Raw genomic sequence first — 13,079 nt, 5'->3', positions numbered from 1 at the left:
TTATTTAGTACCATTTATTGAATAGTGAGTTGTTTCCCCAATGTTTGTTCTTATTGACTTTGCTTAAATCAGATGACTGTAGGTGTAAAGCTTTATTTCCGCTTCTTTAACTGGTTCCATGGGTCTATGTGTCTGTTTTTGTACCATTACCATGCTGTTTCAGTTATTGTAGCCTTGTATTATAGTGTGAAGTTGTGTATTTTGATGCCTCTCTTTGTTTTTGTTCTTAGACCTGTTTTGACTTTTGGGCTATTTTTGGTTTCATAGGAATTTTAGAGTTTTTTTTCTAATTGCATTGAAAATGTTCATGGTAGTTTGATAGAAATAGCACTGAACCAGTAAATTACTGTGGGCAGTATGATCACTTTAACAATATTAATTCTTTCTATAATTGAGCATGAAATATATTTCTTTTTGTTGCTGTTGTTTCTAATTTTTTCAACAGCATTTTGTAATGTTTAGGGTAGAGATTTCTCACCTCCCTGGTTAGCTGTATTTCTGGGTATTTTATTTGTGGCTGTTGTAAATAGTAGTACATTCTTGATTTAGCTCTCACCTTGGATGTTGTTGGTATAAACAAATGGTACTGATATTTGTGTAACACCGAAAGTTCTTGCCTTAGCCATGCCAAAAATTTGGTGTGGCGGCAGCCCCCTGTGAGAGAGAGACGCGTATCCGACTAAGAGAAAAAAAAAAAGCCCTAGGCTTTATTGAGCAGAGTGACAGTACAAAGCTTCCACAGCGTGGAAGTGGTCCCTAGCGGGTAGCCAGTGTTCGATTTTTTTGTCACCTTTTAAACTCTTTAAGGTGGGAAATACATGTGGTGGGAAGATGTTACCAGAGTGAGAAACAAAGGCAATTAACATGTTTTAGGTCTTAAGGAAAACCGGAATTCTAACTTAAGTTTTATCTACTTTATAACCTTGCAGCCACATGGCAAAGGAGACAGAATCTCACAGGATTTTACAAATTGTGTTAACAAGGAATTGGATCTGGGAGCATAGATAAGGTCTGCTGGTCACAAAAAGAAACTGGCTTTTACCATTCCTTTTTGTTTCAGGGGAGGGGGAAGGGAGAGTGGGAGTGAGGACACAGGGAAGCTTACAGCAAAAGTTTTGCTGTTTATAGCTTTCTTGGGGGAAGAAAACACATGCACAAATTCTGATGTTAGGAATATTTTAAGCATATATCTTCAATATTATTCATCCAGTATGAGAGTAAGTCCTGATACAGGAAATGAGTGAGTTTCACAGCTTTCTGAGCCCCTACTCGACCCAGGAAGCCCAGCTGGAACCTCCTCAGTCCCCCCTCTAGACAGGACACACCAATTGCTGTTGGGAACTGGCAGCAGTCGTTCTGGCTACTTCCTGATGGTTAGGGGTGAAGAAGGGGCCCTGCAGTTGTGGTGTCCTCCAGAGGGGAACTTTTTAGGCTAGTGAGGGACCAGCAGGTGGATCCAGGGGTTCTCAGTAGAAGCCGTGAGTTGAGTTCATTTGAGGTTCCATTTGTAAGTCCATTTGCAGCTTGATGGCCTTGATCCTGGAGGAGACAAATTTGACAAGGAGGTTAAAAATGCAAGGCCCGAAAGCGAGTAATAGTAGGATGACTGTCACAGGGCTTAGAAAGGGGAGGAGCCAAGGTACACATTTGTTAAACATATTCCAGGGCCCTGAGTGTTAAAGCTCCTTTTTGTCTACTTTCTATTTGTTCTCTTATTTCTTTAACCTTTTCAGTAATGATTCCTGACTGGTTAACGAAATAGCAACATTCTTCTCCTAAGAAGAGGCAGGTTCCTCCTCTTTCAGTTGTTAATAAGTCTAGGGCTCTCTGATTTTGAAGGACTACCACAGCTAGACAATTAAGCTGGCTTTGTAGGGTCACTAGGGAGTCGGCAACTCATTCCATGTCATCATTTAATTCTCGTGATAATTTATAATAGAATTGGGTGGAGGAGGTTATGCCTCCAATTCCAGTCCCAAGCCTGCCTAGTATTCCTGCTCCTACTGTAAAAGGGACAATAAGGGCTCGGGTGTGGCGAGATTGGGGTATAAGGAGACTTTGTAACTCTTGTTCAGTATATATGGACATGGGAGGTGCTAGAAATGAGACATAGCATAGTTCTTTTGGAGTGCCATTTTGGCATCGATAGGCTGTGTTATCACAGATGAAAAAAATTTCCTGAAGGTAGATAGGTGAAACCTGAGGTCTTGCCCTAGTCTCCACTATTTGGTTTTTGTATTCCTAGGATTGGGGTGTTTCAAAGACTGCTACATTTTTTTACTAAACCTTGAGCTTTTAAATTTCTAACAATATCCTGTAATCCTTTGAGAACTTCAGGCCTTAAGTGATATTTCCTTTGATAAGGAAAAGTGGTGGTGTCTTTTAGCTTGATGTGGACTGGATGGATATTCTTTGCCCTTCCAAATTGTCCTTCTAAGGCCCAGAGCTCAAAGTTGATTTCTTCTTCAAGTAGGGGACAACAAATGGGTCACTTGTTCCCCATATTCATGTAGATAATGGCCCCAGCTTTGGCAAATATGTCTCTCCCTAATAAAGGTGTGGGACTTTCAGACATAACAGAAAAGGCATGTGAAAGAGCAAAGTCTCTCAATTGCAGCTGAGGAGGCGAGAGAAATACCTGGTTACAGGCTGTCCTAAGATTCCTCAGATAGTAACGGACTTTGAGAACAGTCATCTGGGTCAGGGGATTAAAATTGAGAAGGCCGCGCCAGTGCCCAGGAGGAAGTCCACTTCCTGGCCCTCAATGGTTAAACTTACCCGGGGCTCTGTGAGGGTGATGGCATGAGCTGGCACTTGCCCCAGGCACCCTCAGTCCTGTTGCTGAATAATCTGGTTGGGTGCTTCTGGTCCAGAGGACCTTCATCCTTTGGGGCAGTGCACCTTCCAGTGATTTCCTTGGCATATTGGACAGGGGTGAGGGGGCAGTTTGTTTTTTGTTGGACAATCTTTCTTAAAGTGTCCTTGCAAACCACACTGATAACAAGCCCTGCTAGGCAATTGGTCTGCTCCTCTCTTGGTTCCCTCTGAGCCACCAAAGTCTGCCTGTCTGAAGTCCATGACTAAGGCTGCAGCCTTTCTCTTATCTCGCTTTTCACTTTCGGCCTCTTCCTCTCGGTCCCTGTTATAGAGCACCGAGGTTGCCAGGTTTAATAATGTCTCTAAATTTGTTCTGGGCCTAAAGTAGACTTTTGCAGTTTTCTCCTAATGTCAGCAGCTGATTGGGTGATAAATTTATCCTTTAAAATAAGCTGGCCTTCTACGGAATCTGGACTTAAGGATGTGTGCTTTCTTAGGGCCTTCCTTAGTCTTTCTAGAAAAGCCGAGGTGTTTTCCTCCTTTCCCTGTGTAATTGTGGATAGCATTGAGTAGTTCGTAGCCTTTTTCCTAGTCTTCCTCAAGCCTTCTGAAATGCAAGTTTGCAAATGCCTGCAGCTCCAATCTCAATGATCTGAGTCAGTATCCCAATGAGGGTATACACTGGGGACTGCCTGTTGCCCTGTGGAGAATTTTTCCCTCTCCTCCAGGGTCATTCAATCATTTACATGGCTAAGGTACCACAGATCCCCAAATTGCCAGGCTACTGCTAAAGCCGCTTCTTTTTCAGTAGGACTTAAGGTCTGATCAAGAAGCAACATGGTATCTGTCCATGTTAGATCAAAGGACTGCATCAATCCTTGAAGGACATCTATATAGTTATCAGGACATCTGAGAATCTCCCTATATCTGCCTTTTTTTTGTTTTAAGTCTGAGAGTGAGAAGGGGGCATGCACGTGAATGGGCCCAAATTTTCCTCCTACTGCTTATAAGGGACATAGTTTCAGTGCCTGACTCATGGAATTTATCTTCTCTTGCTGGTGTGCCTTTAACACCTCAGTGGGGCCGGATGGAGGAGAGTCAGTGTGGGAGAAGAGTGGGGCTGAGGGAAGAGGCCCTGAGTATGGAGGCAATTGTGGGCCTCTGTCATTTGGGAAAAGCTTGCAGGCTTGGCACACGGCAATATTGTGATGAAGGGCAAAGAAACTCTGTACCTAAGGGAATTCACTCCATTTACCTTCCTGTTTACAGAAAACATCTAATTGTAGAAGGGTGTTATAATTAATACTTCCCTCAGGGGGCCAAGTTTCTCCATTTTGTAAGGAATACTGTGGCCAGGCAGTGGCACAGAAGACAATCAGCCACTTCTTTTTTAAGGTTTCAGGGTCGAATTTGTCCCAGTTATTCAGGATACATTTTAAGGGAGTGTCTGGTTTGGAAGGTGTGGTGCCCATCTGGAATTTTACACACCGGGATGTCCGCAATCCTGGTTAGTCCTGGGACTCATCTTCCCTTAGGCCGTCCCCCAAGGGTCAGGCCCAATTGTGCTCAAAGCTCATGGCCGCTTTTCCCGAGCCCTCCATCTACCGGATTTAACCATGCTTACACGTGGGATGGAAACTTCCCTTGCCCCTGCTGTGCGCCCATTGACCACTAAATGGGGCACAAAGACTGTTGGATTTATTGTCATTCTTCTGCCAATGCATCCTACCTGTTCCATGGCGGCAAGGCCTGGGTCTGGGGCACCACTGATGCCTGCATGCTAAGGCTCAATTTATGTGGGCCTGGCCATAAAACTGTCCTTCAAGGAGAAATCTCTGAATTAGCAACAGGAGGCTTAGTAAGCTTAAAGGGGGTGGTAGATGTCCTCTAGGCCAGGGCTGAGAGAACCGCTGCTGTACTCTAGCCTTCTGTCCCTACTTGCCATCAAAGGAGTAAGCCCCTCTCTTACGGCGGTGCCAGTATCCTGTGTCCCAACTGACTATATTTTCTTCCTTCCAATTCCAACTATTGAATAGTTCAAATAGCAACTCAGTGGCTCTAAGAGCTGTCCCCATGCACCACAGATTGTACTTGAGAGGCCCCAAGGAAGGGGAAAGTTTATCTGGGGAGCAATGGAGGAAATGCCCTTAGCTTGGAAAAAGAAGGCCTTGTAACAGAGATAGGAATTATCATTATATATCTAGCTATTTCTCACTTTATTTAGAAAATCCATTATCATAGAACTTGGTTGATGGATAAAGTAAGGCATTCACTTTTTTTTTTATTTTATAGACAGAAGCTGGGTTTCTGTCCATAATTTAAAAATGTCATCTGTTGTTTATATTGATATAATGGTTTGAAAACAGTACGAGTCAAGATTTGCAGTATTAAAGGAAACCTGAATTTTGAAATTTTATCTCCTTTTGTGGGAAGTAATTTTAAGAATCAGATATAGAGTTTAAAATTTAAATAAATTTCTGTCGGATCTAGGAAAGATTATTTTGATATATTTGTGTTTTTCTCTGTGAAATTTGTGATCATCAATTTAAATAAAAACCACAATACCATTTTCCCAACATTTCAATGAATTATTTGATTTCCTGTAAAGAAATAATTTGTACATCAATAAAAGTAATGCATTATGTAAATTTCAAAAATAGATGCATATAATTTTAATAGCTTTACTGAAGTACAATTGATATACAAAAAACACCTGTAAGTATTTTATACATATATATTTATATTATTTATATATATATAAATTGATGAGTTTGGACATGTACAAGCACCCATGATGCTATCATTATAACAGTGAAGGTAATTAACATATCCATCACCTACAAAACTTTCTTTGTCACTCTTTGTTTTTGATGGTAATAATGCTTAACATGAGATTGACCCTCTTAACACATTATTAAGTGTACAATACCATGTTGTTAACTAGGCATTATATTGCAGAGGAAATCTCTATGCTTATTCATAAGCATAAGTGAAACTTTATACCCACTGAACAACAGCTCCCCATTTCTCTCTCTCCCAAACCCCTGGAAAACACTATTTTATTATCTGCTTCAATTAATTTGCCTATTTTATTTAACTAATATAAGTGGAATCATAAAATATTTGTTCTTCTTGAACTTGCTTAATTCACTTAGCATAATAACCTCTAGGTTCATCCATGTTGTCGCAAATGGTATTTTTTGTCAAACCTTGGCAACTGAATTAACATGTCCATTGCTTCCGTGTACACAGAAATGATTCTAACTGAACTTATGAAAATAATTATATCGATATCAAATTAAAATGCTCATGAATAGTTTTTGAATTTTTGTAAAATCAGATATGGAGAAAAATCACAAATTTATCGTTATTTTAATGAATAAAAAATATTTAGGATCTTGAAATAATTAGCAATGTGAAACTAATTAGGAAAATTGAGATTTTCAGATTGTTCTAATGTGTTTTGATTATTATTAAAATAATGGTAATAAATCTTAGTTATATTTCTATACTTACTTTAAAATACATACATATATATATATATAGAGAGAGAGACATTGTGAGTAAGTTAGTGTATATGTCTATGTGGGTATATGTTTTCTTTAATTGATGTTCTAGCAGCAGTTATCCAGTGTTTGTCATTTCCTAATTAATATTACATCCCAGAAACAACTCCCAAAACTTTAAATTTGTACATTTTCTGTGTCTTCTTTCTAATAAATGCATGTATGTTTTGAACAATACTGTCTGAATTGTTTCATTTTAGGATACCACATGATAGTATGGTGAAGGGGTGTGAGGACAGGCAGGCAGAGATGGGAGAAACAGAGACACAGAGAGAGAAAGAAAGAAAGAGAGAGAGAGAACTTATTATAGTGAAGCCTTTCTTATCTTTGTATCATGAGGGGCTAGCTCACGACCTGGCATGAATGGAGCTCATAAAGTGTATATTAAAATAGATAGGGCACTTATGACATGGTTTAGGTCATTCATATTCTAAATTTAATGTAACAGGTTCATTCTAGTCTAAATATATATGTTAGGCTTTACAATATAGTAAAATATTGTTACTTTTATACCTATGATATAGGTTTAAATTTGAGAGCACCCACAATATTTATTAAAAATGCTCCTTAAATAAACTTAAAAATATACTACTACCTAAATGTAATGTCACTGATTTTATTATTGAGTCTCCATTTTTTTTCTTGTAAAAGGAACTTACAATGATAATACATAAGTAAAACTGTAATAATTATGCCTACTAGACACATAAAAGCTTGGAATTGAAGAATAATATTATAATACCCTTGGTTAGGTTATGATTTAAATATAGAATTATGGTATTCTAAATTCTCAAACATATATCAGCAATATTTCTTAGTGATGGTACTGATTTCATTAGAATTTTAAATGTGCATCATTTCTGTGAGCTGACACAGAGGAATCATGATTAAATAAATCAAAATAGTATTAATGCTCAATGACATGGGGTAGAGAGAAATATTTAATTTTTAAGTTAGAATTTAGGCATTCAAAACAAGAATCACAGGAATAACAAAAGGACATAACTCTGAACTATGCACACCAGATAAGCATAAAATTTATTTTGCAAATGTTTTTGCAGTTTAGTCCTTTGCATCAGTTTATATTGTGGGAAAGTAAGGGAGCAAGAACAGCTGAAATGATATAACACATAAAAATATCAGATAATTTTTATTATAAACAGATATAAGCTGAATTTGAAAACACCATTGATAAGAAATTAAAGGGGAATATATTTCCCATTTCTTCCTTTTGTATGTAAGTCCAAAGCCTAAAATTATGATTCTTTATAGAACTATCTCTCCGCTTTTCTGTCATTTGTCAAAAGAAGAATAAAATCAATATTTATTTTTAGGACTACATTACTGCATCATGAACCTAAACTTAATGCTGACTCTAGAAACCAAGTCAAACCATTAAGAAATGTAAACCGTGTGCAAATGAGATTAAATGCAATAAAATCACATCTGATATAAAAGGCACAGAGATACTACAAAGAGTAAGATACATCAGAAAGGGCTTAGGTGAAAATATAATAAATATTCCTTTTCTAAAATGTTATGGTAGCAATAGTTTACTACATAGGCTACAAAAAAAAATTGTCAGCATTTCCATACTTACCAAAATGAGTATGAAACCTCAGGCTCACTAAATCAGTATCTTTTTTAAACTATTACTATACTACAGTATCATTTCAACAGTGTTAAAGATTTAATCACAATTTAAATGTTAAGTATTAAAAATTAGGATAATACACCTTTACTATGACCTATACTATTCATACCATTCTGGAAATATAACATATAATACTAGCAGATCACAAAGTACATAGACCAATACCCTCTCAAAACCAAAAACAAACAAACAAACAAAAAATACAAACCAAAACATTCAGCCTCTGTATTTAAGGCATGTTTTTCATTAATACTGATGTGCTTCCAGGAATATACAAAGAAGAGGTGAGACATCGGTATTCCCATGAGAAACCAGAAACGAATATACAAATGAAACGTTGAGAAGCCCAGCCATCAACTCTCCATTGTAACATAAAGGGTTAGCAAAACAAAAAAAACTTGGCTGCCTACAGCCTGCTGAGTAACTCCTCAGCAGGAGGAGTTTTATTTATTATAGCACTGTCATACACACTTTCAGATATGCAGTTTTATTTTTATATTCTATTTCTGACAGTTTTATTTGCCTGCCACACCATGAAAGACTGCAGTTCTAAAGAAGCTGTTAGGAGAAAAGTATAGATATCTTCTGTGAGGGTTTCTTAGTTACTGAAAGTAGGAGAACCTTCACATTAAATAGAATCTTGGTATAATCAAGCAGAAGGCTTGGTGGAAGTATTAACATGGTTATCTCATGTCCATCAAGCTGGAGTTTTTCTAGAATAACTTTTAAATTGAGTGACTAAAATTTATGGGCCGGATAAGTACTTTTCCAGACTTTCCAGAGTCAAAGAAACACAGATTCAGCAGAAAAACAAAATAAAACAAAACATAAAAAAACAGAAGCTATTCACAGTTTTCCAGTTTTCATGACCAACTCTTCCTTTAATTTACGCTGGGCTTAAGATAAATTCAGCAAGCTCATAAGCCAAATTAATCCTAAGTGTGTTTCATGCTTCAATTTCTCAATCAATTGATGGTGACTGAGTCTGAACTTTGGACAGCCTACTTATCTCAATAGTCAAAGTGGAATATAGCTGACTTCATGGAAAAGATCATCAAATTAAGCAACATAGCACAAATTACATAAAAGCTTTCTAAAATAATTTTATAGAATAGGAATTTATGCACTTACAATTAAATACAGTGGAAAGGATTTCTAGTTGAGTGTAAGAAAGTTTGTCATAAGATCTTAATTTTTCTAATAAGATGTTTTTCATTATCTTCTTTAGATTTATTAGAATGTTCATTTGGACATCGTATTTCACTTTGTTTTCTTAATGTTGGGATAATAGAAAGCATATATGTTGAGAATGCATACTCTGCTATTGGTATTTTTTGGCAAAATGTATATATTATTTTGAAATATTAAATAGTGCTTATGAGCTGAATCATGGCTCATTACTCCAAATTCATTTGTTTGTGTTCTAACACCCAGTTCCTCAGAATAGGTCTACATTTGGAGACAGGGCCATTAAGGAAAACAATAATATAAAATGAGGACATATAGAGGATGTCTTATATGAACATAAGGACAAACACAGAGAAGAAAGTCCACGTAAAACCACTGAAGGAAGGCAACCATCTACAAACCAATCATTGAGGATTTAGAAGGAAACAACACTGTTAATCGTACCTTGATTACACTTGATTACACACTTCTAGCCTCCTGAATTTTGAGAAAATATGTTTCTTGTTTAAGCCATCTAGCCTGTGGTACTTTATTATGGCAGCCCTAGACATCTAATAGAGTGGTATATAGAAATACACTTGAAGTTTGAATGTTGATGTTATATATGAAATGAATTTTGAGAGCATCAGGTATGTATTAAAGTATGAAAGAAGGATTATGCACTGTTTGGAAGATGATACATACATAACTATATGCTTATCAAATTTGGTCATTTGAGAAAAAAAAACCTTATATGGTTCCTGGAACATACTGTTTATTTTCTGATTATTCCTTTGCACATTGAATAACTGTATCCAGATTAGCTTTTATTTTTCATAAATTTGAGCTAGTAACAACCATTCACTTCAAATTTATTAATACATTATCTTGCTCAATAATATAAAATATATTTTGAGCACTTGATAATATAAAGCTAAGTCTCTTTCTTTCGCTTTCTTTTCTTTCTTTCTGTTTTCTTTCTTTCTTTCTTTTCTTTCTTTCTTTCTTTCTTTCTTTCTTTCTTTCTTTCTTTCTTTCTTTTCTTTCTTCTTTTTTTTCCTTTACTTTTTACGCACAAGTTCCAGGATACATGTGCAGAACGTGCAGGTTTGTTACATAGGTATAAGTGTGCCATGGTGATTTGCTGCATCTATTGATCCATCCTCTAAGTTTCCTTCCCTCATGCTCCACCTCCCAATAGGCCCTGGTGTGTGTTGTTTCCCTCCCTGTGTCCATGTGTCCTCATTGTTCAACTCCCCCTTATGAGTGAGAGCACACAGTGTTTGGTTTTCTGTTCCTGTGTTAGTTTGCTGAGGATGATGGTTTCCAGCTTTATTCATGTCTCTGAAAAGGAGTTGATCTCATTCCATTTTTGGCTGTGCAGTATTTGGTGGTGTCTATGTACCACATTTTCTTTATCTCATCTGTCATTGATGGGCATTTACGTTAGCTCCATGACTTTGCTACTGTAAATAGTGCCACAATAAACATATGTCTGCATGTGTCTTCACAGCAAAATGATTTATATTCCTTTAGGTGTATACCCAGTAATAAGACTGCAGGGTCAAATGGTATTTCTGTTTCTAGATCCTTGAGAAACTGCCAGTATGGCATCTCAATAGATGCACAAAACAGGTCTCTGGTAAAATTTAACATCCCTTCATGTTAAAAACTCTCAGTAATCTAGGCATTGATGGGACATAACTCAAAATAATAAGAGCTATTTGTGACAAATGCATAGCCAATATCACATTGAATGGGCAAAAGCTGGAAGCATTCCCTGTGAAAAAAGGTACAAGACAAGGATGCCCTCTCTCTACACTCTTATTCAACATAGTATTGGAAGTTAGGACTAGTGCAGTCAGGCAAGAGAAAGAAATAAAGGGTATTCAAATAGGAAGATAGGAAGTCAAATTGTCCCTGTTTGTAGGTGACATAATTTTTCATTTAGAAAACCCCGTCATCTCAGCCCCCAAACTCCTTAAACTGATAAGCAAATTCAGCAAAGTCTCAGGATACAAAATCAATGTGCAAAAATCACAAGGATACCTTTACCCTAACAATAGACAAGCGGAGAGCCAAATCAAGAATCAACTCCCATTAACAATTGCTACAAAGAGAATAAAATACCTAGGAATATAGCTAACAAGGGATGTGAATAACTGCTTCAATGAGAACAACAACCCACTGTGCAAGGAAATGAGAGAGGATGAAAACAAATGGAAAACACTTTTCATCGTCACAGACAGGACAAATCAACATTGTGAAAATGGCCATACTGCCCAAAGTATTTTATAGATTCAATGCTATTCCCATCAAACTACCATTGACATTCTTCGTAGAATTAGAAAAAAGCTACTTTGAATTTCATATGTAATCAAAGAACACCCTGTATAGCCAAGACAATCCTAAGCAAAAAAACAAAATTGGAGACATCGTGCTACCTGACTTTGAACTGTAATAAAAGGCAACAGCAACCAAACAGCATGGTACTTGTACCAAAGCAGGTATATAGACCGATGGAACAGAAAAGACACCTCAAAAATAACACCACACATCTGCAACCATCTAATCTTAGACAAATCTGACAAAAACAAGCAATGGAGAAAGAATTCCCTATTTAATAAATGGTGATCAAAAAACTGGGTAACCACATGCAGAAAACTGAAACTGGACACCTTCCTCACACCTTATACAAAAATTAACCCAAGGAAGATTAAAGACTTAAATGTAAAACCCAAAACCATAAAAGTCATAGAAGAAAATCTAGGCAATACCATTCAGGACGTAGATATGGGCAAAGACTTCATCATGAAAACACAAGAAACAATTGCAACGAAAGCCAAAGTTGACAAATGGGATCCAATTAAACTAATGAGCTTCTGCACAGCAAAAGAAACTACCATCAGAGTGAACAGGCAACCTACAGAATGGGAGAAAAATTTTGCAATCTACCCAGCTGACAAAGGTCTATTATCTACAATTAAATTTATTTAATTTACAAGGAACTTAAATAAATTTACAAGAAAAAACAAAACCATTAAGTACTGGTCGAAGAATATAAAGAGCCACTTCTCAAAAGATGACATTTATGCAGCCAACAAACATACGGAAAAAAGCTCAACATCACTTATCATTAGAGAAATGCAAATCAAAGCCAAAATGAGATACCATCCCATGTCAGTCAGAATGATGATTATTAAAATGTCAAGAAACAATAAATGCTGGTGAGGCTATAGAGAAACAGGAATGCTTTAACACTGTTGGTGAAAACGTAAATTAGAGCTAGGTCTTTAATATTATGTTGATTAATTGATTGATTTCCAACACAAACCAAGTTCAAAGTAGATGAGTAATTAGAAAACAAAACATACTGAGTTAAAAAATTAATAAATAAAAAGAGTCTGGTTGGTAAAAACACTAATTTCAAGGGAGTTTTTTTGAAGTTTAGTGAAACTTAAGTTATTTAACATTCAAAAATAAATAAATAAAATAAAACTTTCAATTTTCTCTGTAACTGCTGAGTGATTGATTGTGTTAAAAAAGTTACCATACATTTTCCCATCTTAACAATTTTTAAGTTTGCAGCTGAGCAATGTTAAGTATATTTACATTTTTGTGCCACAGGTTTCTAGAAAATTTTCATCTTGGAAAACACATTGAACAACACCCCATTTTCCCTTTACTCCAGCCCCTGGTATCCACTATTCCACTTTTTCTTTCTATGGATTTTACTAGTTTTGATACCACATGTATGTGAAATTATTTATATGTGTATTTATCTTTTTTTGACTGGCTTATTCAACTTACTATAACATCCTCAAGCTTCATCAATGTTGTTACATATGATAAAATTTTCTTTTTTTAAAAGCTAA

The sequence above is a fragment of the Homo sapiens genome, chromosome 4, assembly GCF_000001405.40.
Source record: "Homo sapiens chromosome 4, GRCh38.p14 Primary Assembly".
Classification (NCBI taxonomy): domain Eukaryota; kingdom Metazoa; phylum Chordata; class Mammalia; order Primates; family Hominidae; genus Homo; species Homo sapiens.
The sequence above is the reverse complement of the archived record's forward strand: the minus strand, read 5'-3'. Positions refer to the sequence as shown.